At 51.6% G+C, this 26,747-nt stretch overlaps 3 protein-coding genes across 25 annotated transcripts in view, besides 5 other annotated features; 1 reads left to right on the forward strand and 2 right to left on the reverse strand.

Moving 5' to 3' along the window:
- Positions 1 to 170: 170 nt before the first annotated feature.
- Positions 171 to 9,544, reverse strand: GAL3ST4 (galactose-3-O-sulfotransferase 4). The gene is made up of 4 exons (NM_024637.5): positions 9,473 to 9,544; positions 7,898 to 8,210; positions 7,429 to 7,732; positions 171 to 1,886 (listed from the first exon to the last, which is right to left on the reverse strand). Exons 2-4 carry the CDS (start codon positions 8,020 to 8,022, stop codon positions 855 to 857), a joined length of 1,461 nt encoding a protein of 486 aa, NP_078913.3. The 5' UTR covers positions 8,023 to 8,210; positions 9,473 to 9,544; the 3' UTR covers positions 171 to 854.
- Positions 1,231 to 1,730: an enhancer, noted in NCBI's record as "H3K4me1 hESC enhancer chr7:99757927-99758426 (GRCh37/hg19 assembly coordinates)". NCBI's record gives its function as "activates a minimal SCP1, AML or CMV promoter by ChIP-STARR-seq in naive H9 embryonic stem cells {active_cell/tissue: H9 hESC(naive)}" and the evidence as "EXISTENCE:reporter gene assay evidence [ECO:0000049][PMID:30033119]".
- A 988-nt stretch (positions 9,545 to 10,532) lies between the features above and the next one.
- On the reverse strand, positions 10,533 to 18,308 carry GPC2 (glypican 2). Its single transcript, NM_152742.3, has 10 exons — positions 17,961 to 18,308; positions 17,134 to 17,292; positions 16,499 to 16,821; positions 15,612 to 15,692; positions 14,762 to 14,924; positions 13,014 to 13,144; positions 12,706 to 12,852; positions 12,466 to 12,605; positions 12,188 to 12,363; positions 10,533 to 11,410 (listed from the first exon to the last, which is right to left on the reverse strand). Exons 1-10 carry the CDS (start codon positions 18,124 to 18,126, stop codon positions 11,157 to 11,159), a joined length of 1,740 nt encoding a protein of 579 aa, NP_689955.1. The 5' UTR covers positions 18,127 to 18,308; the 3' UTR covers positions 10,533 to 11,156.
- Positions 12,390 to 12,609: a silencer, noted in NCBI's record as "silent region_18422". NCBI's record gives its function as "represses an Ori minimal core promoter by ATAC-STARR-seq in GM12878 lymphoblastoid cells {active_cell/tissue: GM12878}" and the evidence as "EXISTENCE:reporter gene assay evidence [ECO:0000049][PMID:35858748]".
- Positions 12,750 to 12,859: a silencer, noted in NCBI's record as "silent region_18423". NCBI's record gives its function as "represses an Ori minimal core promoter by ATAC-STARR-seq in GM12878 lymphoblastoid cells {active_cell/tissue: GM12878}" and the evidence as "EXISTENCE:reporter gene assay evidence [ECO:0000049][PMID:35858748]".
- Positions 18,270 to 18,389: a silencer, noted in NCBI's record as "silent region_18424". NCBI's record gives its function as "represses an Ori minimal core promoter by ATAC-STARR-seq in GM12878 lymphoblastoid cells {active_cell/tissue: GM12878}" and the evidence as "EXISTENCE:reporter gene assay evidence [ECO:0000049][PMID:35858748]".
- Positions 18,570 to 18,619: a silencer, noted in NCBI's record as "silent region_18425". NCBI's record gives its function as "represses an Ori minimal core promoter by ATAC-STARR-seq in GM12878 lymphoblastoid cells {active_cell/tissue: GM12878}" and the evidence as "EXISTENCE:reporter gene assay evidence [ECO:0000049][PMID:35858748]".
- The window catches only part of STAG3 (STAG3 cohesin complex component), a 41,611-nt gene continuing 33,514 nt past the window's right edge, over positions 18,651 to 26,747 (forward strand). For 9 of the 23 annotated variants that reach the window (XM_017011683.3, XM_047419786.1, XM_017011686.3 and 6 more), the window contains exons 1-4: positions 18,845 to 18,932; positions 21,420 to 21,599; positions 23,017 to 23,119; positions 23,650 to 23,766. In XM_017011683.3, coding sequence (XP_016867172.1) covers positions 21,484 to 21,599; positions 23,017 to 23,119; positions 23,650 to 23,766 — 336 coding nt within the window. In that variant the 5' untranslated portion in view covers positions 18,845 to 18,932; positions 21,420 to 21,483. The other 14 variants (XM_017011684.2, XM_047419793.1, XM_047419790.1 and 11 more) reach the window with 4 other exon arrangements.

A 26,747-nucleotide genomic window follows, 5' to 3' on the forward strand; every position in this document is an offset into this window, starting at 1 on the left:
GAGCCCAGGAGTTTGAGGCTGAAGTGAGCTATGATTGGGACACTGGACTGCAGCCTAGGTGACAGAGTGAGATCTTGTCTCGGAAAAAAAAAAAAAAACAACCCTTCCAACCCCACTTCTCCCAGGAAGATTCTCCATCCCTCCCCTTTCCACCCTCCATAAATCAAGTAGAAGTTTCAAATTATTTATTCATTCAACAAACATGTCAGAGAGAAATGAACAGTCTAGTAGCAAATATTTCATAGAGAAATGGACGTATCATTCCAACTCACCACGCCCCAAACTTCCTGTGGCTCACTCCATCTTTTGCCCCTCTAGGGAGCTTCGGTGATGTGGATCTGCCTTGGGGCAGGAAAGGGGAAGGGGAGGTCAGGCCTAGTGGCTCACGCCTGTAATGGCAGCACTTTGGGAGGCAGAGTCATGTGGATCACCTGAGGTGAGGAGTTCAAGACCAGCCTAACCAACATGTTGAATCCCTGTCTCTAAAAATATAAAAATTAGCCGGGTATGGTGGCACGTATCTGTAATCCTAGCTACTCTGGAGGCTGAGGCAGGAGAATCGCTTGAACCTGGGAGGCAGAGGTTGCAGTGAGCCGAGATCATGCCACTGCACTCCAGCCTGGGGGACAGAGCAAGACTCCGTTTCAAAAAAAAAAAAAGTTGGGGGGAAAGAACAAAATGAGTGGAGGGTGGAGGAGGGAAGCACTGCTGGGAGCCCAGCGAAGAGGGGGCTTGCATCGGGACAAAGACTCATCCCTTCTGGGAGATGCAGAAATGGCATCTTGCTGCCCCCCACTCATCACATGTGCCCTTCAAACATGGCTGCTCTTCCACCTAAATCTGTAGTCTGATGTTTATGGGGAGAGTGGCCTTGAAGTCTTGAGGGGCAGTGAGACGGTAGGGGGGAACTGCTTGGCATCCAGCTTGTCCTTGTACTGGAGCTCAGGGGTAGCTAGGCGCTCACATTCCTCTTGGTCTTGGGGGCTCAATCCACTCCGAAGTATATAGCCCAAAACCTTAGCTGACCCAAACTGGAAGGGGCGGAACCGGCGATCAGTGATGTATTTGGGGTCAGAAGCCTCACCCCCTACCAGACAATGTTTCGCTAGGGCCTCTCGGCGAGCCCGGAGCTCGGCCACAGCTGTCTGCAGCCGGCCCTGGCCGTATTTCTCTATCCGTGCCCAGAGACTGCGGTTGAAGTGGACATAGAGAGCCCAGTCCAGGTTGTTCCAGGCTCGGGCCCGTGCAGTCAGCTGCCGGTCCTCCGCAGTCAGTCCACTGTTGCTGACAGTGCTGAGGCCCTGCTTATGTCCAGCCTGGGCATTGTGCATGAAGCCCACCACGTCATCTAGACCCCAGCACAGGGCATCTGCCAGCAGAACCAATGACTCATCGAAGTACTCAGCCACCATGACCAGGTCAAAGACAGAGTCCAGCCATGCCAGACCCCACTGGATGAAGGATGAAGACCCCAAATCGAAAGAGGCAGGGCTTGATATCTGGCTGCGATGATCAGTAACAGTGGAAACAGGATGGATGAGGGCATTGGGATTGAGGGTTTGGGCTCGAGGGCCAGCACCAGAAGGCAAGACCTGCAGCTGTGGGGGGTTGGGGTCTCTGGGGGGATGAATATTCCCTCTCTTGGCCCTCTTCTCTGGGGGAAAGGGCAGGCCAAAGTCAAACCATAGTAAGTTGCGAGCGTAGTGGTCCCCACGGGCCCCAGGCCTGTAGAAGCCTCGAGGATTGGCCAGGAAGGCAGCCAAAGATGGTGACTTGCGGAAGGCTGATGAGGTGGATTTATAGTAGGAGAAGGCAGAGCGAGCCAGAGCCGCTGGGTCTCGGACAATGGAAAAAAAGAAGCTGTCAGAAGGCATGACCTGAAGTACCTGCAGAGGAGGGAAGACAGAAGAGAGAGAACTGGGCTGGGGAGAAGGTATGCATAAGTATGCACAAGCCATGTGTCCGCTGACCAGCCTCCTGAAACCTCCTCCTCCCAGCTCTGCTAGGAATCCCCAGCTTCCATCACTTGCTGAGTGGCAAGTTACTTAACATCTCTGAGACTCAATTTGCTTATCTGCAAATGGGGATAATCATACTTTCTCAAGTGACTATGAAAGATACATGAGATAAAACATACAAGAAATCTGGAGCATGGAGCCAGGCATGTTTTGTGTGCCTGTAGTCCCAGCTACTCAGGAGGCTGAGGCAGTAGGATGGCTTGAGCATTGCTATGTTGCCGAGGCCAGCCTGGGCAACATAGCGAGACCCTGTCTCTACAAAAATAAAACTAAAAAGCCGGGCATGGTGGCTCAAGCCTGTAATCCCAGCACTTTGGGAGGCCGAGGCGGGCGGATTACTTGAGGTCAGGAGTTCGAGACCAGCCTGGCCAACATGGTGAAACCCCGTCTCTACTAAAAATACAAAAAAATTAGCCAGGTGTGATGGCACACGCCTGTAATCCCAGCTACTCGGGAGGCTGAGGCAGGAGAATTGCTTGAGCCCAGGAGGCGGAGGTTGCAGTGAGCTGAGATCGTGCCACTGCACTTGACAGCCTGGCCAACAGAGCAAGACTCTGTCTCAAAAAAAAAAAAAAAAAAACTAAAAAAGTTAGCAGGTCAATCAATGATAGACTGGATAAATAAAATGTGGCACATATACACCATGGAATACTATGCAGCCATAGAAAAGAATGAGATAATGTCCTTTGCAGGTGCATGGATGAAGCTGGAAGCCATCATCATGCTCAGCAAACTAACCTACTCCAGTAAACTAACAAAACTAACACAGGAACAGAAAACCAAACACCATGTGTTCTCACTCATAAGTAAGTGGGAGTTGAACAGTGAGAACACATGGACACAGGGAGGGGAGCATCACACACTGGGGCCTGTCGGGGTGGGGAGCAAGGGGAGGGAGAGCATTAGGATGAATACCTAATGCCTGCAGGGCTTAAAACCTAGATGATGTGTTGATCAGTGCATCAAACCACCAGGGCACATGTGTACCTATGTAACAAACCTGCATGTTCTGCACATGTATCCCAGAACTTAAAATAAAAATAAATTAGCGCGGTATCCTGGTACACACCTGTAGTCCCAGCTACTCAAGAGGCTGAGGTGGTAGGATTGCTTAAGCCCAGGAGTTCAAGACAAGCCTGAGCAACACAGCAAGACCCTGCCTTGAAAGAAAGGGGCCGGGTGCAGTGACTCACACCTGTAATCCCAGCACTTTGGGAGGCTGAGGCGGGTGGATCACAAGGTCAGGAGTTCAAGACCAGCCTGGCCAAGATGGTGAAACCACATCTCTACTAAAACTATAAAAATTAGCCAGGCGTGGTGGCAGGCGCCTGTAATCCCAGCTACTCAGGAGGCTGAGGCAGGAGAATCGCTTGAAGCTGGGTGGCAGAGGTTGCAGTGAGCCGAGATCGCGCCACTGCACTCCAGCCTGGGCAGCAAAGTGAGACTCTGTCTCAAAAAAAAAAAAAAAAGAAAGAAGCAGCCAGAGAGGGAAGGAGGGAAGGGAAGAGGAGGGGAGGGGAGGGGAGGGGAGGGGGGAGAGGGGAGGGAGAGGGGGAAGAGGAGAGGCTTGTCGGGGTCAGGGGCAAAGGAAGAGAGAGAGAGCATGAGGATGAATGCCTAATGCATGCAAGGCTTAAAACCTAGATGACAGGTTGACAGGTGCAGCAAACCACCGTGGCACATGTATACCTGTGTAACAAACCTGCATATTCTGCACATGTATCCCAGAACTTAAAAATTAGCCGGGCACTAATTTTAAAGGGGAGGGGAGGGGAGGAAAAGGAAGGGAAAAAAAAGAAAAAGAAAAAAAAAGAAAGAAGGGAGGGACGGAAACCTGGAGGATAGGAAACTCCTGGAGAACATTAATTTCCTCGGGCATTTCTGTCTGCCTTGGTCAGTAAAACCTCTAGGAACCAACCTTTGTACTCATTTCTCCAGCAAAAACCTGTTGAGTGCCTGGGAGGGGGCATCACTGGCAACAAAGGAGCAACTATAATGCCATCTCGGGCATAGGCAGCAGGTGGGCAGGCCAGGCCCAGAATGGCTGAGGGGTAAAGCACTTCAGGGTCTCCTGGGCATCCTAGAGGGCAAAAAACACCCTGGGCTGGGACACTGGGAAGCCACGGCTGCCTGGTAGGATGCTGCCCTGAGGGCTGGGACACGTGATTACACCGCTCTGCAAGAATGAAGGTGGAGATCAGGCTGCACCACACCCTAACGTGGCCCTGCAGGCTGATGCAGGTCAGAACCTAGCTCCTAGTCTCCTTGAAGGGTTTCTGCCTCCAAAAATGACTTCCATCATTGAATCTGACTTCTGTCTGTCATGGTGTTCCTCAATCGGCTCTGCAAGTATGGCACACCTGAATAGCAGCCTGTGAACTCTCTTTTTTTTTTTTTTTTTTGAGGGGGAGGACAGGAAATGAGCATTTTAGCTTTTCAGTGTTTATTTTCTTCTTACTATTTTTTAAGAGACAGTGTCTCCTTGCTCTGTCACTTAGGCAGCATATCATAGCTCACTGCAGCCTTGAAAACTCCTGGGCTCAAGGGATTCCCCAATCTCAGCCTCCTGAATAGCTGGGACTACAGGCACACACCAACATTCCCTGTTAATTTTTAATTTTTTTGTAGTGATGGGGTCTTGCTATGTTGCCCAGATTGGCGTTGAACTCCTGGGCTCAAGTAATCCTCTCACCTCAGCATCCAAAACACTCGGATCACAGGCATGAGCCACCATGCCTGGCCCTGCAGGTCTCTTTGAAGGCAGAGGGGAAAGCGAAGAAAACAGTCTTTGGCATCTGGACCTGGAATAAAATCCCACTCTGCCATTTACTAATTCTGTGACTTTGGGCGGGTTATTGAAGGTCTCAGAGCCATCATTCCTCCATCTAGAAATCTGAGTAACTGGGTAACACTTACCTGGAAGAATGTGCAAGTGTCTGGAACATGGTAGGTATTCAGTGAATGGTGGCGTCAGTGAAGGCCATCATCCTAGCCTCTGGAGAAACCTACCTCAAAGGTCACTGTCATTGCCTCACTCCTGGCAGTGGCCTTTCGCTGCCCATCAGAGCACGCCCATGTCCTCAGCTGGTGTCTCCAGCTCCAGCTTCAACAAGGGTGACTTTGCAGCCCCTGTGGAACTTCTACCCCCAGTACAGACGTTCTCCCTCTTACATGCACACACACACGTGCACCCCACCATGTCCTTGCTGGTGTTTTGCTCCCTCTAAGAATGCCTCATGCTGTCCTTACCACAAGCCACATCCACCTTTTCCTTTAAAACCCCCCGCTCTCGGCTGGGCACGGTGGCTGACACCTGGAATCCCAGCATTTTGGGAGGCTGAGGTGGGCGGATCACTTGAGGTCAGGAGTTTGAGACCAGCCTGGTCAACATGGCGAAACCCTGTCTCTACTAAAAGTACAAAAATTAGCTAGGCGTGGTGGCGGGTGCCTGTAGTCCCAGCTACTTGGGAGGCATGAGAATTGCTTGAACCCGGGAGGCAGAGGTTGCAGTGAGCTGAGATCGTGCCACTGCACTCCAGCCCAGGGGAAAGAGCAAGACTCTGTCTCAAAATAAATAAAATAAAAATCAAAATTAAATAATAAAGTAAAATAAACCCCCCTCTCCAGAAAGCATCACCTCTTTGGTGAATATTCTTCTCACCATTCCAGATACAAACACATGCACAAGCCTCGGAAGAAGCCTCGACTTTGGAGTGCATGGACCTGGGCTCAACTTCCAGCTCTGCCACTTTAATTTTCAATTTTATTTATTTATCTTTCTTTCCTTTTTTTTTTTTTTTTGAGACAGAGTCTCACTGTGTCACCCAGGCTGGAGTGCAGTGGCACGATCTCAGCTCACTGCAAGCTCCGCCTCCCAGGTTCATGCCATTTTCCTGCCTCAGCCTCCTGAGTAGCTGGGACTACGGGCACCCACCACCATGCCCGGCTAATTTTTTGTATTTTTAGTAGAAACGGGGTTTCACTGTGTTAGCCAGGATGGTCTCGATCTCCTGACCTTGTGATCCACCCGCCTTGGCCTCCCAAAGTGCTGGGATTACAGGCGTGAGCCACTGCGCCCGGCCTTTTTTTTCTTTTGTGAAATGGAGTCTCGCTCTGTTGCCCAGGCTGGAGTGCAGTGGCACAATCTCGGCTCACTGCAACCTCTGCCTCCTGGGTTCAAGCAATTCTCCTGCCTCAGCCTCCCGAGTAGCTGGGATTACAGGCGTGTGCCACCACGCCTGGCTAATTTTTGTATTTTTAGTAGAGACAGGGTTTCACCATGTTGGCCAGGCTGGTCTCGAACTTCTGACCTCAGGTGATCTGCCCACCTTGGTCTCCCAAAGTGCTGGGCTTAGTCCCGGGCTAAAAATACAGCTGATCCTCAAAATGTGAGGGGGTTGAAGAAGACAAGTCAGAAGGCAGTGGGGGAGGTGGGGCCCTGGTGTGACAGTGAAAGGGAGGCTAAGAAAGGGAAGGGGCGTGTTGTCCTAGGTACTTGCCAGGCTGAGGTGGGAGGATCATTTGAGGCCAGCCTGGGCAACATAGTGAGACTCCATCTCTACAAAAAATAAAATAAAAAAATAGCCAGGTGTGGTGGCATGCACCTGTAGTCCCAGCTAGTTGGGAGGCTGAGGTGAGAGGATCGCTTGAGCCCAGGAGTTTGAGGTTACAGTGAGCTATAATTGTACCACTGCATTCCAGCCTGGATGACAGAATGAGACCCTGTCTCACACACACACACACACACACACACACACACACACACACAGGCTGGGCAAGCTCACTCCTGTAATCCCAACCCTTTGGGAGGTCAAGGTGAGCAGATCACTTGAGCCCAGGACTATTTATTTATTTATTTAAGCCCAGGGGTTTGAGATCAGCCTGGGCAACATAGCAAGACCCCATCTCTACAAAAAATTAAAAAGTAGCCACGTGTAGTGGCACATGCCTTAGCCATAGCTACTCAGGAGGCTGAGGTGGGAGGATCACTTGAGCCTGGGAAGTCAAGGCTGCAGTGAGCTATGATTGTGCCACTGCACTCCAGCCTGGGCGACAGAGTAAGACCCTGTCTTCCAAAAAATAATTTAAAAACAGAAGAGTAAGGGGCACCTGGAGGGAGAGTTGGGGGCTCAGAGTTGGCAAGGCACTGATGCCAGGGAAATACATTGGTGAAAGAGAGAGACTGGAGTAAGCGCCAGAGAGAGAAGGGAGGAGGACTTGGGCTCCCAGAAACTACTGGGGAAGGGACACCTGTAGAGAGGATGGCAGGGAGCCCAACTTTGTGGCCCCTATGTCCAACTTTAGGGTGAGATGATGCCTGGGGAGCCCCCAGGTCTGGGCCCCCTCCCTTGGTGGTGTCAGCCTGAGCCCATCTGTTTCTGGTCCCTCCCACCACTGCGACACTCCTTACCTCTTTCAGGTTGAACCTCATGTGGTGACAGAGGATGTGGAAGGGGAGCTGGGTGCCTCCACCCTGTGGGCGGTAGCCTTTTACCCTAGAGGCCTGGAAGAGCTTTGGGTAGCCAAACTGGTAGCGGGCAGGGAGGGCGAAGCGCAGCCCGTGCTGGTCCCCATAGCGGTGAAGCAGGCTCAGCACAGAGCTGCTCCCGGATTTATGTGTCTTCAGGAACACCAGTCGCTGCCGGGGTGGGCAGGACGGAAGGGCTGGTCGTAGGGATGGGGCCGAGGGCTGTCGGAGCTGTAGCCCAGGTAGCCTGGGAAGAGATGGAGGGGGAGTGTCCTGTTCCTCAGCAGCAAATGGGTAGAAGGGACAGAGGGCATGGAGGCTTCTGAGTCCTCAGGAGTCACCAGCCCCAGGTGGGATGGGGAAGAGCAAGTACGGGGCGTCTAGAAGGAGTTGGGGCAAAGTGGGAACTCACCTCCTCTGGAAGGGCCCTCCCAAGAGCTGGAGTGCAAAGCCAATGGTCATGAAGACTCCCAGAGCCACCCCCAGGCTCCGAGGTCCCCAGAGCCGCAGCGTCCTGGCAGGAGAGAGAGGGCCCATGTGGCACAGGGAAGGGTGAGGTGACAGAGAGATGGAGCCAGGGCCAGGAAGAGGGGCAGAGACAGCTGGAGACAGCCGTGCAGCTGCGGAAGGCACTGGTTGGAGATCGGGGGGTCATTCCCCAGGCCTGCTCACAGTCTTGGTTGAGTCTGCCCCCTGAGTTAGCAGATTTTTGCCTCTGTCAGCGTCTAGAAGGGAAATGAGGGGGGAAGAAGGGAAGTCTAAGGAGAGAGGCAGAGGCAGCCTTCTCTCCTGCTGCAGCTGAGACCTCCTTCAGGGAAGGGGAGTGGCTGGGGATGTTGTCTATACCCAGACTCTCCTAGGTGGCCCCACAACTACTGTCTCTGCTCTATCACTTTCTTATCTCCAGTTCCTCCCGCTCCCCACCTACAGTTGTCCCTGAGCCTTGGGGATTTATAAGGGAAGGAGAGAAAAAGCCCCAGCTCGTGAATGAAACAGCCAGCAAGAGAGAGAGAGATCAGATCAATCAGCTCATTAACACAGTCAGGTCAGACCATGGTCGGGAACCTGGTTTCCTCCAGAGCCCCTCTGGCTGTCACAGATGGGGATAAAGAGCCCTATCCCAGGACCAGGAAGGGAAGCCATACAGTGGGAATGAGGATCAGACAGGACACAGGTGTATGAACCCAGGCAGGAGGAAGGGAGGTTGGACTTCCAGGAGTGGCATTGCAATGGGTAAGAGCCATTGGGTTATAAATTCCCGCGCCTCTTTTTTCTCTGTCTCAGCACGGGGCAGACCCCCATGTATGACAGGGGCTGGGGGAGACGTGTGGCTACTTATAAAGCCCAGATCCCTGGACTTACCCACCATTCCACTTTCCAACCTTATCAGTGCACCCGGAGGAGACTGAAAGGGTGGGGCTGGAGAGGGAGACAGAAAGAGAGAGAGACACACACACACACACACACACACACAGAGAAACAGAGAGAGAGAGACAGAGGGACAGAGAGACTATGACACAAAGATAAGGAGAAAGGCGCAAACACTAACTGCAGAGTTCCTTCTGAAGCCCGAGCTTCCTAATCAACCGGGAGTCCAGCCCCGCCCCTTCAGATTACAACTCGCGATCAGGGACCACGGCCCCTCCAACAAGCCCCGACAGCTCCCTGCTCCGATGAGCCAGGGGTAACCCCAAGCAGAGAGAAGCCACACTTTTACTCCCGGAGACCTGCCCTCTCTGGCATCACTCCCCAATTCCCTCCCTGATCACAGCCCCTGGGGTCTAGCCGCGTCTCCCCTATCCAGAGTTCTTCATTTCCTTCCATCCATCTCTCCCTTCCCATGATTGGAGATCCCAGCCCTCTGTCCCCTCCAGCTTTGGTGACTGCCCAGTTGCCCCCGCTGGGGTTCCATGAACCCCTCATGTCTCCTCCCATAAATTAGAGGGTCCCTCCACTGGTCCTATCCTTGGTTTCACTTCCCACTCACCAGGCCACAAGGGGAGCAGCAAGGGAAATCGGGCCGGGCCCTCCCGCCCATCCCAGCCACCGCCCGACTCTTGGCTCAGCTCAACTTTCCCCAAGAACTTTCTCAGCGCCCAGGCTCCTCCCTCCTCCCTTTGTGCCGCCAGCCCCAGCAGCTGCTGCAGCTTTGATCGCGGTTCTAGGTCTCTCCCTCGCTGCATCTTCCCCTCTTCGGCAGGGCACCCAGACTCCTCTTGGAAGACACCACTTCCGCCCCCGCTTTCACACTTGGGAATCAATCCTACCATTTTCTCTTGGCTTGCCGCAGAACAAAAGATTCATTCAGGCGGTGGAAAGAAAGAAGGAAGGAAGGAGAAAGTGATATTTGAAAGCAGACATTGTCAAGGACGTGGCAAGGTAGCCAGAGACTGACACTCAGAGAACAAGGCCTCCCATCCTGAAGGCAGGGGGCAGTGGTGTGGTCACCTTAATAATGCTTCGTGGCCGGGTGCGGTGGCTCACGCCTGTAATCCCAGCACTTTGGGAGGCTAAGGCTGGTGGATCGCTTGAGGTCAGGAGTTTGCGATCAGCCTGGCCAACATGGTGAAACCCCGTCTCTACTAAAAATACAAAAATTAGCTGACTGTGGTGGCAGGCGCCTGTAATCCCAGCTACTCAGGAGGCTGAGGCAGGAGAATCATTTGAACTGGGGAGGCGGAGGTTGCAGTGAACTGAGATCGCGCCATTGCACTCCAGCCTCGCGACAACAGCGAGACTCTATCTCAAAAAAAAAAAAAAAAAAGCCTCATGTTCAAAGAGCATTTTGCAGGTGACAAGGTGCTTTTTCACACAGATTCTATTTGGTCCCCACAATTCTCCCTGTTGTACAAACGAAGATGCTCAGAGGCCCAGAGGGTGGGCAATTTGGAGATCAGAGGTTATTGTCTAGGCCCGCCTCCTGGGGGACAGGTGCCAAGGGAAGTGAAAAGCCGGCAGAAAATGAGCCAGTCACAGAGGCTCTGAGACCTCTGCTAGGAGCCAGGGCTCAGGCACTGATGGTGACAGCACAGAAGCCACACATGGGGTCCAATACATTACCATTTATTTGCAGAATAAACATGGACTCAAACACTGAAACATGGAGTTTGTGAAGGATGTGGGTGGCAGAGGTCACGAGATGAGCACCCCCCCACCTTGTTTTTTTTAAAATTTGGTTTAAGAAATTGATACTGAAAAAACTCAACAGAACCCAGGCCCATGAAGTCTCACATCCTACTCAAGCACCCTCAGTCCCCTGCCCTGCATCCAGCTGGTCCATTTCTGAGACCAGATGCCCCCACCCCTCCCCACTTCCAACTTCCTTCAAACCCCTTCCCCAGCTGCAACTCTAAACTCCTCATTTTCTCTGTTGGGGCTGATCACCAGCCCCAGCCTTAGAGGGCTAGAGACTATACCTTCTAAGGAAACCACACTCCCTCCTAAATAAATACCCCCAGGCCCCCCTCCCATTACCAAATGAAAAAATAAATATTGTGAACACCCACCCACCTCTGATGAAAATCTCCTGGATTTGGGGCCCCAGCCATTCACCTGCAAAGTCCCTTCTCTACCCTCTCTGCAGCCCCCTTCGACTCCTCCCCAGGCCCAGCTGAGGGGGGAGGAGGGGAAAGGGCCATGAACCCTTCTGATGCTAGGGCACCCCTCCCCCGTTATCGAGGTCCAAGCAGGGCCAGGGCTGAGAGGGAGAGAATGAGGATGGTTTGGGTGTGAAAACCAATAGATGCCCCCCCACTCCTGCTCCGGCCCTGGTTGTAGCGGGCACTGCCACCTCCTCCTTTGCCCCCAGAACCATCCCTTCTAGGAGGGTATGGAGGCCGAGGAGGCCGGGCTGGGGGAGCCACAGCCCCAGCCATCCAGTCATCTGCATACTGCTGTCCCCCTCCAGAGCCGCTGGCATCCTCATCTGCAAGGAAGAAGAGGGACAGAGCAGGATGGGAGGGAGAAGCAGAGGGAGACAGAGGGAGGAAAAGAAATTGAGATAAAAACAGAAAGAGAGAGGAAAGGGAGGGAGACACAGGTGGATGCCGGGTTGGGGAAGGGAGAAAGACCATGAGTGACAGGAAGGCAGGGAGAGAAGGAAGGAGAGAGATCCGACAGCAGACATGGGGGGAGAGATCATGATGGGAGACAGTGAGACAGAGAGAAAAAAAAACAAAACAGGCAGATGGGGAGAGAGGATAACAGGAAAAAACAGAAAAATCAGAAGTACACAGAAGCAGAAAGCAGCCAGGAAGAGGGGTGCGGGAAGAGTGACAAAGAGAGACAGAGACAGACAGATAGAAGGAGAGAAGAAAACAATGAGTGTCTGTGCCTTGCTTCTCTGTTTGGCAAACTCCACCCTGCGGAGCCAGCTCAATGTCACCCACCACCCTGGCTTCCCAGCCTCCCCCAAATTGCCCCCTCCCCCATTTTCCCACTGCCCTTTGCCCATTATAAGGGGCTTCCCACTGTTCTTTAAGAATGTTTTCGTGTCTCCCCTACTGGCCTGAAAGGATACAGACCCCCTCATTGATCTGTTACCCCCAGTCTTTCAGGGCAACGCTCAATAAATGCTCGTTGAATGAATTAGTGAATTAATCAATGAACGCTAAGAGCAGAGGCACGGGCGGGAACTACCAGGAGAGGGGAGAGGCTTCAGGGCAGTGGGCGGGGCTCAGGCTCAGGGATGCAGGGGTCTCACCCGCGTCCTGCCCGTCCAGGTCGTGTCCCAGTGCGGCCGTTTTCATTCTGGCCGTGGCCGCCCGGAGCTGTAGCCGACGCCGCCGTGTCGGGACATCGGGGCCCGAGGCGTCCACCTTGAGCTCGGGGTTGTTGACCTGCTCGGCCGGGGAGCCCCCGACCACTGGCGGCAAGTACCTGCGAGCAGAGCAGCCCCGAAGCGCCAGCTAGCGCGCGCGGCCCCGCCCCTCCCGGCCGCGGTCCCGCCCCCTGCTGCCCCCCGACGCCCCCGAGGCTCACCGGCCCCGCCCGGCTCCGGTCCAGCAGGGCGCCGCCTCCAGCGAGGCGTCCGCTGCCATGCGAGAGTCTCCGCACACCGTCAGGGACAGCCGGGCCCAGAAGCCCCGCATCCGGGCCAGACGCTCGCGGAGCTCCCACACCTGGGCGGGCGAGAGGGGGCGGGGCGAGCTGGAGCGCGACCCCCACAACCATCCCCGGCCCCGGGCCCCCCCGCCCCCAACTCTTGGTCATCCCACGCACCAGCCGGTGCAGGTTGGTGCCTGCGGCCGTCGTGGGCCGCTCCTCCTCGGTCACCATCGACCACAGCCGGCCCGCCTCTTCCCGGGGCGGCGGGGCTCGACGGTTGCGGGCAGGCACCGGGTCGGGGGGGCCGCACTCCTGAAACACCTGCGGCACCGGGAAGAGACCTCACACAGTCACCCTGGGGGGAAACCACACTGCGTCCCCACTCTGACCCCAGAGTCTCTTCCCAGATCCCCTATACTGCCTCTCTGACACCCACACCGTCCCCGCCCCGGGCCTCACCTCCACCCTTCTCTCCCCTGTACCTGGGCGGACACCTTCGCACTGTTTTCCTGCAGGTACATCAAACCCTCCGAGATCTTCACCCCAATGGACTCGGCCGTCAGCTCAAAGGAAAAGGGGCCCTGGAGCTTATCAGCCAGGATCAGGAGACCATCTTAAGGGAGGGAGAGAAAGAGAAAGGATGGGATGAGTGGTGATACTGAACTAGGATGTTCCTGAAAATCCTCACTCGGGCCTTAGAGAAGCAGCAAAGTGTTTGGGGGAAACTCACATGAGCTCCCTCTCATGTATCCCCCCAATTTGGCTTTAAAGCCCCTCTCCATTTCACCCCCAGCCTTACTCAGGACCCTCCTCCATCCCAGACTTTTTTAAAATTTAAATTTAAATTTTAGGATTTTAGGATTTTTTTTTTTTTTGAGACATAGTCTCACTCTGTCGCCCAGGCTGGATGGAGTGCAGTGGCGCGATCTCGGGTCACTGCAACCTCTGCCTCCTGGGTTCAAGCGATTCTTCTGCCTCAGCCTCCGGAGTAGCTGAGACTACAGGCGCCTGCCACCATGCCGGCTAATTTTTGTATATATATATATGTGTGTGTGTATATATATATATGTGTGTGTGTGTGTATATATATATACGTGTATATATATGTATATATACACGTATATATATGTGTATATATATGTGTGTATATATATGTGTGTATATATATATGTGTGTGTATATATATACGTATATATATGTGTGTATATATATACGTGTATATATATATATTTTTTTCCGGTAGAGAAGGGGTTTCACCATATTGGCCAAGCTGGTCTTTGTCTCAAAAAAAAAAGAGTCTCATCTGTCACCCAGGCTGGAGTGCAATGGCATGATCTTGGCTCACTGCAATCTCTGCCTCCCGGGTTCAAGTGATTCTTCTGCCTCAGCGTCCCAAGTAGCTGGGACTACAGGTGCATGCCACCACGCCTGGCTAATTTTTGTATTTTTAGTAGAGATGGGGTTTCACCATGTTAGCCAGGCTGGTCTCGAACTCCTGACCTCTTGATCCACCCACCTCGGCCTCCCAAAGTGCTGGGATTACAGGCATGAGCCATCATGCCCAGCCGGCCAAGCTGGTCTTGAACTCCTGACCTGTCCTTGTGATCCGCCTGCCTCCGCCTCCCAAAGTGCTAGGATTACAAGCGTGAGCCACCGTGCCTGGCCAATTTTAGGATTTTTTTAGACAGGGTCTTACTCTCTCGCCCAGGTTGGAGTATAGTGGCATCATCATAGCTTACTGCAGCCTCTAACTCCTGGGATCAAGGGAGCCTCCTGCCTCAGCCTCTGGAGTAACTGGGACAACAGGCATGTGTGCCACCATGCCTGATAATTTCTTTCTTTTTTTTTTTTTTGGTAGAGATGCGGTCTAGCTACGTTGCCCAGGCTGGCCTCCAACTCCTGGCCTCAAGTGATCCTCCTGCCTCAGCCTCAGGAGTAACTGGGACTACAGGCGCGGGCGCTACCATGCCTGGCTGATTTCTTTCTTTTCTTTCTTTCTTTCTTTCTTTTTCTTTCTTTCCTTCCTTCTTTCCTTCTTTCTTTCTCTGTCTCTCTCTCTCTCTTTCTTTCTCTCTCTCTCTTTCTTTCTTGAGATGACGTCTAGCTATGTTGCCCCAGCTGGGCTCCAACTCCTGGCCTCAAGTGATCCTCCTGCCTCAGCCTCTCAAAGTGCTGTGATTACAGGTGTGAGCCACCATGCCTGGCTCCAGGCTTTCTTGAATCCCCTCACCCAGATAGTTGCCCCAGTCAGGCTCCAGTCCCCTGCTGCTGAGACAGCCACGAACCACGTTGAGGCAGAAGCCCTGGCAGGGCATAAGTGAGGGGACCCCCCGGCACAGGGGACAGCCGATGAGACGCATCAGAGCCTGGCTGCAGCCTTCAGACACCGGCACCTGGGGGCAGAGAGTGGGGCTGTGTCCTCCACAAACGCTGTGGCTGCTCTCAGCCTGGCTTGGTGCTGGGCACAGACAGAAATCACATACCCCACCCTACACCTAGGGTTGGTGACCCCACGTGGCAGCAGGTGAGATTGTCACAGATCTGAGGAGGGAGGTTCCAGGTTGCTGACTCTGATTCGTGGGAGGGGTGGAAATAGAGAGGCAGTTAGGGGTGGAGGGAACATTCAAGGACAAGAGTGAGCCCATCACAGCTGGGGAGGGAGGAGGCGGTCAGGAGGCAGAAGGTGAGGCTGGGAGGTCAGGTAGAGGATGGGCAGTGAGAGAGGCCAAGCCAGGCATCTGGCCTTCAGCAGCAGGGAAGTGGAGTCATTGAGGGATCCTGGGGGGTTGGGCGGGGGCAGTATCCAATCTCCTACTGCTATGGAGATGAGCAGGCCCTTGGGGACTGAGGAGGGTATGGGTCCACAGAGGGGAGGAGGGGGTCAGAGATCATGGATCGTGGACCATTGGAGGTTTCACTCCAGCCCCCTCCTTCCTAATTCATCCTAGGACACCAGGGCCTGGAGGCAGACAGAGCCCAAGGCCTGTCCTGCTGGCTGGTGGCTGTTTCTTCCTTGTGGGGTCTCTCTCACTTCCACCTCTCCCTCCCTGGGCCCTGCCCATACTCAGGCACCCTCCAACCTTAAGCGCTTCGCTGACCACATTTCTTCCAGTCTCCAGGCCCTGCACAAAGGCTCGGGCAGCCACCAGGGTCCGGGTTATCTGGGAGAAGGCAAAGAAGGTGAGAAAAACCACAAGGTTGTTATGGGTCAGTCAAGACTGGAGCCAAGAGACTGCATCAAGAGCAGTGAGGGTTGGGTGTGTGGGGTTCTCTCAGAGTGGGTCGAGTGTTGGGTGGTACAGAGAGGCAGGTTCAAGAGCCCCCACAGGAATTATAGTCTTAAAGAAAAACAAAGGAAGGCTTGGGAAGAGATGGAGGGATTATGTTGTACAGGGCTTAGAGAGAGAGAAATTGTGTATCGGAACTAACACTGAACTTGAAGCCAGAAGACCTGGGTGTGAGCCACGGCTCTGCCACTTACTGGCTGAAAAGCTTAATCTCTGGGAGCCTCAGTTTTCTCATCTGTAAAATAAGGGCATGACTGTCTACCTCACAGGGTTATGATGACAACTAAATGTGATACTATAAAAGAAAATGCCTTTTGCGTATTGAATGCACAATTCCTGTTTAGTTGAACCAGAGGAAGTCAAGGTGTTACGATTAGGAAGGGGTTGGCACAAAGGTGGCTGGAGGCTAAGGGCAGGTGAGTGTTTGTGTGAAACTAGGGCTCAGAATGGGAGGTGGCAGGGGTGGGGGCATCTGCTTCAAGAAGACCAAGGGGCACTGGGTCGGGCAGTGGTGAGTAAAGCTCAGGATAGGGATCACCAGGTCAGAAATGGCTTCAATGCAGGATGGGGGATCACCAGGTCAGAGGTGACTGGAGCACGCCAGTTTGGAGGTGAGTGGTGCACAGTTCAGGGGTCACTAGGTCAGAAGTGGTTGAAGCTCAGGCCTCAGGATCCCTCACCTGCAGGCGGAGGCGGCGGGGTGAGTCCCCAAAGGGCTGCAGAGAGCCATCGGTAGATGAGGCCAAGCGTGAGAGGCAGAGCAGGTAGTCAGGGGGGAAGCTGTACTGTGGGTGCAGCAGCGGGAACACTCTCTCCAGGAGCTGTGCCCAGAAATCCGCCAGGGTGTCATCCAACCCCTCACCAGATTCCCCATAGAAGTCTCGCAGCCGAGAGAACAGGCCATTGAATATGAGGGCGTGCTGGGCATACAGGCGGCCGTAGGAGTGGGAGAAGAGCTGGGTCAGAGAGTGCTGGGCTACTGAGAGCATCTCCAGAAAAAACTCTGCAGCAAATGCAGGGAACAGGTGGAAGGCAGGTCAGGCCAAAGAATGGGGAGAAAAGTGAACAGGCAGAGGCAGGAGGAGATGGGAGAGAAGAGAAAAGACAAGTGAATCAGAAACTGAGTAACTCTCAGAGATGGGGCAGACAGGGAATGGGGGAGGGCAGGGCCCTGGAGACAGAGTCTGGGGGGTGGGCGGGCTGGGAGGGGATGGAGTCTTCACAGATGGAGTAAGGAGTGGGGACAGGAGCCTTGCTGGGGTCCTAAGCACCGAGAGGAGCTGTGAAGCTGAGTTTGGGGACCCCAGGTCCTCACCATCAAATTTTCTGTGCCTGGCAGCCAGTGTGTGAACCAGAAAGGAGCCGCTGTCCTCCACCAGGCCTCGGAAGGTGGCCTCAGTCTCCCTGATCAGCCTCTGCTCTGTCTCACTGGAACAGCAGGTGTACTCCTGGGGACAGACCCGGAGGTGCTCACCTGGACAGAGGAGACGTGAAGGAATGGTGGGAAGTGATATCCTAAAATCCCTTCCATTTCCCGCCTATCTCTGGGGACTATGCCTTCTCTTCTACCTGCCTGGTCTCTTTTCTATTGTCTGCACCCTCTTCCCTACCTGAACCTATCCCCTACCTTATTGTCTCCTGACCCATCCCAAGTTCACTCCCATTAGCCACGGGATCATCTATTTAACAGCTGCCCTGAGGGCCAAGTCAGTGGTCAGAGTGTCCTCAGGTGACCCTCCCCAATGTCCACACCCCAGACCTCGAGGGACTTGGAGAACAGCTTCTAGGGGATGAAGAATGGGGCTTGGAAGGGTGGGGTTACTTGGTGAGCAATAAAGTATTCTCATAGAAGGGGCTAATAGAAACAGCGAGGAGAACATGGCTGTGAAGAAAGAAACACATAGGGGGTGTTAATTAGGAGGAGGGGATTCCTGGGGTGGGGATGGAGTAAGAGCGCTATTCTTTGCATAGGAGGGTTATTGTGATCCCGGTAAGGAAGTTACAGGAGGAGAACAGACATTACTGTGGGATGAAAAGATTAGTATAACGGTCACTCTGAAAAGGAAGAGAGTTATTGTGAGATGAGGAGGCCCCGCCCCCGCCCCCCACCCCCAATTCTCTAGTCTTCCTCTTTCTCCTCACCTGAGATCAGGGCGGGAGGGATTAGGTTTAAGCTATATCCCCGGGCCCCCAGCACCTGCCGGGTCTCTGCACAACTCCGGGTGACCTTTGCCTCGCTCCCGGGTCCGGGACCAGGACCGGGACACAGAGGCAGCAGCAGAAGCAGGAGAGGTCGCAGCGCGGACATAACTGCAGCCACCCCAGGACGGCAAAGTGGGTCCTAAGGAGGAAAGCAGAGCCTCCCAAACTCGGGAATCCGGTACTCGGCCGCGGGACCGCTCCGCGGGCCAGAGAAAGAGCGCTGCTCCGGAAAACTGAATACCGAGCACGATAGCTGGACCAGGCGGCATCTGCCGAGACAATGGGAGCGGGGAGCCGGACAGGGGGCGGGGCCCGAGGCGGGGCCCCGCCAATAATGGCTCGGAGCCGGCTTCAGGGGCGGGGGCAAGGAAGAAATTAAGCCAATGTAGCGCGGAAGCTCGGCAGGGGGGCGGGACCCGGCTGGCACTCAGGAGGTTGGTGAAATAGGGGCGTGGTCTCCCTCGGGGGCGTGGCGATCCGGCTCAAAAGGCGGGGCCTGGGTGGAACCTAGCCTATGGCAATTGAGAAGCCAGATTAAAGGGGTTACTAGCAGTCTGGTCCAAAACCCGCCCAATGGAGTAGGAGATTGAGGGTAGCGGGGGTGGGACCTGGGTGGGGGCGGGGCTAAAGCGGGCCGCCCGCGTGCCCAAGCCCACGTGAGAGGGCAGGACGCCTGAGAGCTTGAGGCCACACGAGGCTGTGGAGCGGCGTGACTCAAACGTGGCGCGCATCAGCTCGCACACTTCCAAACCTCGCGATAGCTACTGGCCCTGGGCGAGCCGTTGGGATTGCGCTTGCGCACAGCGTGTCTTGTACGTTCCCGCGCTTTTCTGGAATCTTTCGCCCCCGGAAGGGCAGCGGCGGGCGCCTGTGTGGAAGGTGGGGTGGCCAGAGACACCCGAGGGACCTGAGGTGGGGACCTTCCCTGAACCCTGCTCGGCCAGAAGTCACTCTTCCAGGCTCTGACAGGTTTCTCCTTGACCCAAGAATAGGCCCTCTCGCGACCCTCCCGGCCCTGACACTAGGAGCCTTCCCGGGCCGTGCCCCAATGGCCTCCGCCACAGAGCTGGAGAATCCTCTCCCCAGGCCTCCATAGACTGAGAGTCCATTCTCTTAAGCGCTTGGAAGGCTCTTTATCCTGGAGCCGCTTACCCCAGGGGCAGTCGTAGATATTTTTACCTTCTGGAAAAATAGGAAACGCGCACCTGCCTTTCCTCCTTTTGCGTTTCCAGCCCTATTCTCATGGCGCCTCCACCCCCAAATCCTTAAGAGCCTCCTGTTCCATTCCAGGTGGAATCAGGTGCTAGTCCTCTGGAAACGAAAGCCTGGGGTCTTCTTGTATTTTTTTTCTTATTTCTTTCTTTATTTTTTTTATTTCATTTTAAAAAACCTGTAAGTTCCCTTGCAGAGGGCGGTTTATACTTCCGAAGCCTCCAGAGAGGGGTGCGTCTGAAGCTGCCCTGCTGTCTGCCTTGCTTGGCTTTTTTTTTTTTTTCCATTTAATTTTTTTTTTTTAGAGACAGGGCGTTGCTATGTGGCCCAGGCTGATCTTGAATTCCTGGACCCAAGCGATGCTCCCGCTTCGCCCTCCCAAAGTACTGGGATTATAGGCGGGAGCACTGTGCACCACGCCTCGGCTTTTGGAGAGCAATTCCAAACCCACTGCCCAGTTTCTGGTGTCTGTAATCCCTTGGTGCTTTAGGTCCACTCTTTGCCTTATTTTATTTATTTGTCATTACTTTTTTTTTTTTTTGAGACAGAGTCTCGCTCTGTTTCCCAGGCTGGAGTGCAGTGGTGCAGTCATAGCTCGCTGCAGCCTCGACCTCCTGGGCTCAGGCGATCGTCCCGCTTCATTCTGCCGAGTAGCTGGGACTACAGGTGCACCACCACACCTGGCTAGTTTTTTTGGTTTTGGTTTGGTTTTTTCGTAGAGACAGGATCTTGCTATATTGCCCAGACTGATTTTGAACTCGTAGGGTTAGGCAGTCCTCCTGCTTCAGCTGCTCAAAGTGCTGGGATTCCAGGTTTGAGCCACCCTGGGCACCTTGCCTTTTTTTTTTTTTTTTTAATTATGAGTTAAATTCCCTTGCAGCAGGCAGTTTACACTTCTGAAGCCTCTAGAGAGGGCTGTGTCTGAAGCTGCCCTGGTGTGTACCTTGCTTGGGTTTTGTTTTTTTTTTTTTGGGTGTGTCTCATGTTGCCAAGGCTGGTCTCAAACTGCTGGGCTCAAGCAGTCCTCCTGTCTCAGCCTCCTGAGTAGCTGGGACCACAGGTGTGCGCAACAACACCTAGCTAGTTTTTGCTTATTTTTTGTAGAGATGGGGTCTTGCTATGTTGCCCAGATTGGTCTTGAACTACTGGGCTCAAGCAGTCCTCCCGCCTCAGCCGCCTAAAGTTCTGGGATTACAAGTATGATCTACCACACCCAGTGTGCAATTTTTTTTTTTAAAGAAAATACCTATGAGTTAAATTTCCTTGCAGTAGGCAGTTTGCACTTCCACAGCCTCTAGAGAGAGATGTGTCTGAAGCTACCCTGGTGTGTGACTTCCTCAGCTTTTGGAGAGCAACTCCAAACCTGCTGGCCAGTTTCTGGGGTGTTGTTGTGCTTAATCCCTTGATGCCTTAGGTCAGCTCTTTGTCTTATTTATTTATTTATTTTGAGATGGAGTTTCACTCTTGTTGCCCAGGCTGGAGTGCAGTGGCACGATCTCAGCTCACCACAACCTCCGCCTTCTAGGTTCAAGCGATTCTCCTGCCTCAGCCTCCCAAGTAGCTGGAATTACAGGCATATGCCACCACACCCGGATAATTTTGTATTTTTAGTAGAAATGGGGTTTCTCCATGTTGGTCAGGCTGGTCTCGAACCCCTGACCTCAGGTGATCTGCCTGCCTCGACCTCCCAAAGTGCTGGGATTACAGGCATGAGTCACTGTGCCCAGCCATTTGTCTTATTTATCATTACTATTTTTTTGAGGGGGGACAGGGTCTTCTTCTGTCACCCAAGCTGGATGGAGTACAGTGGTGCGATCGTAGCTCACTGCAGCCTTGAACTCCTGGACTCAAGCAATCCTCCCACCTCAGCCTCCTGAATAGCTGAATACAGGCATGCTCTACCACACCTGACTAATGATTATTATTATTTTTTTTTTAGAAATGGGGTCTTGCTGTATTGCCCAGGCTGGTCTTGAACTCCTGGGCTCAAGCCATCCTCCTGCCTTGGCCTCCCAAAGTGCTGGGATTATAGGCATGAGCCACGGTGCCCAGCCTTTGTCTTAGTTTTTGGTCCCCCTCACCTGACCCCAGAGTTCTAGAACCATTCCCTTGGAAAGAAAGGGACTGGTCAGGGCTGGGGATGGAGAAGTGCTGTGGTAGGAGCCCTTTCTTCTCTTTCTTCCCCAGCTGGATCGCCATACCTACCCTGTGGTCCTCATCTTCCTGGCCTCATAGCTCCTCCTCTCCAAGCATGTCTTCCCCGTTGCAAAGAGCTGTGGGAGATACCAAGAGGGCCTTGTCTGCATCTTCTAGTTCCTCTGCCAGTCTACCCTTTGATGACAGGGACTCAAACCATACCTCAGAGGGGTAAGTAGATGTTGCATTGTGTGGCCACTTCCTGTGTCCCTGGCAGCCTTCCCCCTCGTTTTCCCACATTGATGATAATATGCGTGGGACTGTGTGAAAACACCAGAAGTGCTATACTCGTTCAGCACAGTGACACCCTCCCTCCAGCTCCAGGTGTTTTTTTTGGCGGTCCTAGATGTTGTAGACATCAAAATAGTAGTACATCCTGTTTTTTTTTTTTTTTTTGAGACGGAGTCTCGCCCTGTCGCCCAGGCTGGAGTGCAGTGGCGCGATCTCGGCTTACTGCAACCTCCGCCTCCTGGGTTCAAGCACATCCTGTTTTTAATCCATCATCCATCTTGTCTAAACCTCTCTTAAACACATTTCTATGTTCAGCATGTACCAACCCTGGTGGGGGCTGAGAGCTGGCAGATGGGGGAGTAAAGAGTTCTTTATTTGTTGCCTGGTAAATTGTATATACTTTTTGGCTAGTGTCCCCTATTTCTTCTACTTGGGGATTTTGTAAATAGGTCTGTGTATCCTTATTTATTACCATATATGAGTTTATTCTGTGTAGGTTATAATAATATATCTTGGTTTTTTACCTTTCCAGAAGGAAAAAAGCGAATTTCATACAGATCTGCTTTATCCCCTGGCTGTTTTAATTGGCTTTCTCTGAATCATTTCTGTTTCTGTCAGTGCTGCTGTGGGGGACCAGATTATATCAAAGTTATAAACTTGAATTGATAAGACATGTGGTTTATGTTTCAAGGGGGTGAAATTTAACTCTAGATACATATTACTCTCCCATTTATGGATGAATGATAGATGACTTCCTGAGCCATGATTATCTTTCTCTACAAAGAGCAGTGATCTCGCTACCTGCTAAGTGAGTATCATTTGATTCTCTTCTTCGGAGAGAATACTAGGAAGAGTTGTCCTTCTCCTGCCTCATTTCCTCATTCTTCATCTCCATTGCTTTCATGTGAAAGTTTTCCTTTAAGGCTTTGTCCCGGCCGGGTGTGGTGGCTCATGCCTATAATCCCAACACTTTGGGAGGCCGAGGCGGGTGGATCACCTGAAGTCAGGAGTTTGAGACCACCTTGGCCAACACGGTGAAACACCTGTAATCCCAGCTACTCGGGAGGCTGAGGTAGGAGAATCGCTTGAACCTGGGAGGCGGAGGTTGCAGTGAGCTGAGATCATGCGATTGCACTCCAGCCTGGGTGACAAGGGTGAAACTCCGTCTCAAAAAAAAAAAAAAAAAAGACTTTGTCCCAACTTCCTACTAACAATAAGCTCATTTTTTCTTAAAATCTGGATATGTTTTTCTCATGGAGATGGGGTGCGGTGAGAGACAGAGAAACCATAATTAATTAGCCTTTTATATGGAGGGAATAGGGTGGTTATATTTAAAGAGAACCATACTTTCTCACAGGAATGGCGACTCTTTGTTAGCTGATGAAGACACTGACTTTGAAGACAGCTTGAATCGCAATGTGAAGAAGAGAGCAGCAAAACGACCACCGAAAACAACACCGGTGAGTCAGCCAGTTTTCTTTTGTTTTTGAATCTTGTGGGGGAAGCAGCCCAGCTACTTGGGAGGCTGAGGCAGGAGAATGGCGTGAACCCAGGGGGCAGAGCTTGCAGTGAGCCGAGATTGCGCCCCTGCACTCTAGCCTGGGCGACAGAGCGAGACTCCGTCTCAAAAAAAAAAAAAGAAAAGAAAACCTAAAAGAGGTTCAGGTGATACGGTTCATAAAAGGACAAGATTTACAAAGTATTAAGGGATGGAAATAGGAAGAAGAGAAATTTTGAAGAGAAAAGAAGAGAAAAGGACGTTAGGATGTAGAGATACAGGAAGGGGACTCAAGGACTTTTTTTTTAAGGGAAAAAAATAAACTTCATAACAATATAAAAATCAATTATTTCAGGACTGAGTCTAACTCAGACTCTGCTGTGGAATTGGCAGCTTAAGCCTACTTGTGTGATAATGATGAAACCAAGCGTTAATGTCACTGTTACCTTTTTTGTTTTTTTTTCATATTTCTGATCTTTTTATACATATTAGGTGGCAAAACATCCAAAGAAAGGGTCCCGAGTGGTACATCGTCATAGCCGGAAACAGTCAGAGCCACCAGCCAATGATCTTTTCAATGCTGTGAAAGCCGCCAAAAGTGACATGCAGGTAAAGCAGTGTCTCACCTCTGTTGATACCATCTCACTTTTTGTAAGGTGGTAAGGACAAGTGTCTACAAACTTGATTTGACGTGAACATTTTAGTGAGTGTAACATGTCAAGAAAGATAAGGTTATGGGGTGAATCCTTGGAGTGATAGAAGGGTAACCTTGAATGAGAGAGCATGTTCTTTTTTTTTTTTTAGACAGAGTCTCTTTCTGTCGCCCAGGCTGGAGTGCAGTGGCACAGTCTTGGCTCACTGCAGCCTCTGCCTCCTGGGTTCAAGCGATTCTTGTGCCTCAGCCTCCCAAGTAGCTGGGATTACAGGCGTGTGCCACCACGCCCAGCTACTTTTTGTATTTTTAGTAGAGATGGGGTTTCGCCATGTTGGCCAGGCTGGTCTCCAACTTCTGACCTCAGGTGATCCGCCCACCTTGGCCTCCCAAAGTGCTGGGATTACAGGCGTGAGTCACTGCACCTGGCTTTGAGAGAGCATGTTCTTTTCTTAAAGGTATCACAGGAGTGATTATGCCTTTATTGATTGATGGAGCAGATGAGGAGAGGCATTGCATGACACAGGAAGGAAGCTTGGATGTGGGTGGCACCTTGTTCACCCATGTTATTTTTTAGCTCCATCTTGACAATTATACTTAATTATTTTTTCCTTGTTTCTTTTTTTATAATTTTATTGAAGTTCTAATACCCGAAAGTGTACAAAGCTTATATGTAGTTTAAAAAATAAAAATGAAATGATTACTCAGATCTCTAGCCCCAGCTCAAGAAATGAAACATTAATAGTGCTGTAGAGATCCTTTGTGTACCTTCTTTCTACTCCATTTCACAGTCTCCTTATTACCCACAGGTAAACACTAGAGTGAATTTTGTGTTAATCTTTCTCATCTCTCATTATAGTGTTACCACTATGAATATGTTCTTTAATTATGTAAATGAATCCATTATTCAGGCTTCTATGATTTAATTATTTGAGTTAACATTGTTTGAGATTTACCCACATTAATGTGTAATTTTATAGTTTCTGGGAAAATATTTAAAATTTTCAAACATATAGAATTTTGCTAGTTATATTTTCGTTATTTGATTTCTAACTTCATTGTGTTGTAGTCAGGGAATGTGGTGTTTGAAATTTATGTAGGGGCCGGGCACAGTGGCTCACACCTGTGATCCCAGCACTTGGGGAGGCTGAGGCGGGCAGATCACTCGAGGCCAGGAGTTTGAGACCAGCCTGGCCAACATGGTGAAACCCCATCTCTACTAAAAATACAAAAATTAGCTGCATGTGGTGGCGTTTGTCTGTAATCCCAGCCACTTTGGAGGCTGAGGCATGAGAATTACTTGAACTCGGGAGGCGGAGGTTGCAGTGAGCTGAGATTGTGCCACGGCACTCCAGCCTGGATGACAGAGTGAGACTCTGTCTCAAAAAAAAAAAAAGAAAGAAATTTATGGAGACTTAGCCTTATGGCCTAGTATTGAGTTGGTACATTCGTTTTATCTTTTCTGTTTCTTTTTCCACCTTTGCTTGCCTTCCTTTGGATTTCTTATCTTCTGCAAGGACCTGAGCACATTTTAATTCCAAATGTCTTTTCCACCTTATATGCAGTTGTACAGCGTGTTAGTTTTTTTTTTTTTTTTTTTTTTTGAGACGGAGTCTTGTTCTGTCGCCAGGCTGGAGTGCAGTGACGTGATCTTGGCTCACTGCAACCTCCACCTCCCGGGTTCACATGATTCTCCTGCCTCAGCCTCCCGAGTAGCTGGGATTACAGATGCATGCCACCACGCCCAACTAATTTTTGTATTTTTAGCAGAGATGGGGTTTCACCGTGTTGGCCGGGATGGTCTCGATCTTTTGACCTCGTGATCCGCCGGCCTCGGCCTTCCAAAGTGCTGGGATTACAGGTGTGAGCCACCATGCCTGGCCTTTTATTTCTTTTTTTTAGCCCATTCTCCCCCTTTTATTTTTAAAATTTTATTAAACATAGTCATTTTATAATCTATGATAAATTATTATCTAAAGTCTTTGTGAGTATAATTCTGTCAGTGCCTTGTTTCTTTATATGTTTTACTAGGTTTTATTGTGAGCCACTCATTTTCCCTGGAGTTCTTATGTGTTGGAATTCTTTGGGGCCTAGGCCAAAGCTGGGTTTTTAAGAAAGGAACCTGCTTTTGCTTTGACAGTTGTCTGGGGACACTCCAGAATCACTTTTTTTTTTTTAAGACAGGGTCTCATTCTTTCTAGGCTGGAGTGCAGTGGTGCTATCACGGCTCCCTGCTGGTTTGACCTCCCTCAGTGGCGAGGTGGTGATCTTCCCACCTCAGCCCCTCTCATAGCTGGGACTATAGGCATGTGCCACCATGCCTGACTAATTATTCTGTTTTTGGTAGACCAGCCTGGGCAACATGAGTTTCACTTTACTTGGGTTACTGCTCCCAGCCTGAATCGCTTTTAATTATCTGAATGATTATTCTGGGCTGGGTGTGGTGGCTCATGCCTGTAATCCCAGCACTTTGGGAGGCTAAGGTGGATCTCACTTGAGGTCAGGAGTTCGAGATCAGCCTGGCCAATATGGTGAAACCCTGTCTCTACTAAAAATACAAAAATTAGCCATTAGCCAGGCGTGGTGGCGCACACCTGTAATCCCAGCTACTTGTGAGGCTGAAGCAGGAGAATTGCTTGAACGTGGGAGGTGGAGGTTGTAGTGAGCCGAGATCACACCATTGCACTCCAGCTTGGGCTACAGAGTGAGACTCCATCTCAAAAAAAAAAAAAAAGGAAAAGAAAAAAAAAGATTATTCTGATTATTCTGATCATGTATGTGGTGTGAATCTTGATTGCAAATCCAGATCTGAGGGCTCACTATGGTTATGAATTCTCAAGAAAGAATTATTTTTTTTCCCTCCACTGTACCCTCAGGTCATAACAAGCTAGTTTTCTTGCTGTCTCTATCTGCCCGGTAGGTTTAGTGTTCAATCTGA

This window comes from Homo sapiens, chromosome 7 (assembly GCF_000001405.40).
Source record: "Homo sapiens chromosome 7, GRCh38.p14 Primary Assembly".
Lineage (NCBI taxonomy): Eukaryota > Metazoa > Chordata > Mammalia > Primates > Hominidae > Homo > Homo sapiens.

Coding starts and splice junctions, on each gene's coding strand:
- GAL3ST4 (NM_024637.5), bottom strand. CDS start 8,022: ATGGGCCCTCTCTCTCCTGCCAGGACGCTGCGGCTCTGGGGACCTCGG. Junction 7,733..7,897: donor GGAGGGCCCTTCCAGAGGAG/GTGAGTTCCCAC, acceptor ATCTCTTCCCAG/GCTACCTGGGCTACAGCTCC. Junction 1,887..7,428: donor TGAGGTTCAACCTGAAAGAG/GTAAGGAGTGTC, acceptor CCTCCTCTGCAG/GTACTTCAGGTCATGCCTTC.
- GPC2 (NM_152742.3), bottom strand. CDS start 18,126: ATGTCCGCGCTGCGACCTCTCCTGCTTCTGCTGCTGCCTCTGTGTCCC. Junction 16,822..17,133: donor CAGGCACAGAAAATTTGATG/GTGAGGACCTGG, acceptor CATTTGCTGCAG/AGTTTTTTCTGGAGATGCTC. Junction 12,606..12,705: donor GCACCAACCTGCACCGGCTG/GTGCGTGGGATG, acceptor TCGCCCGCCCAG/GTGTGGGAGCTCCGCGAGCG.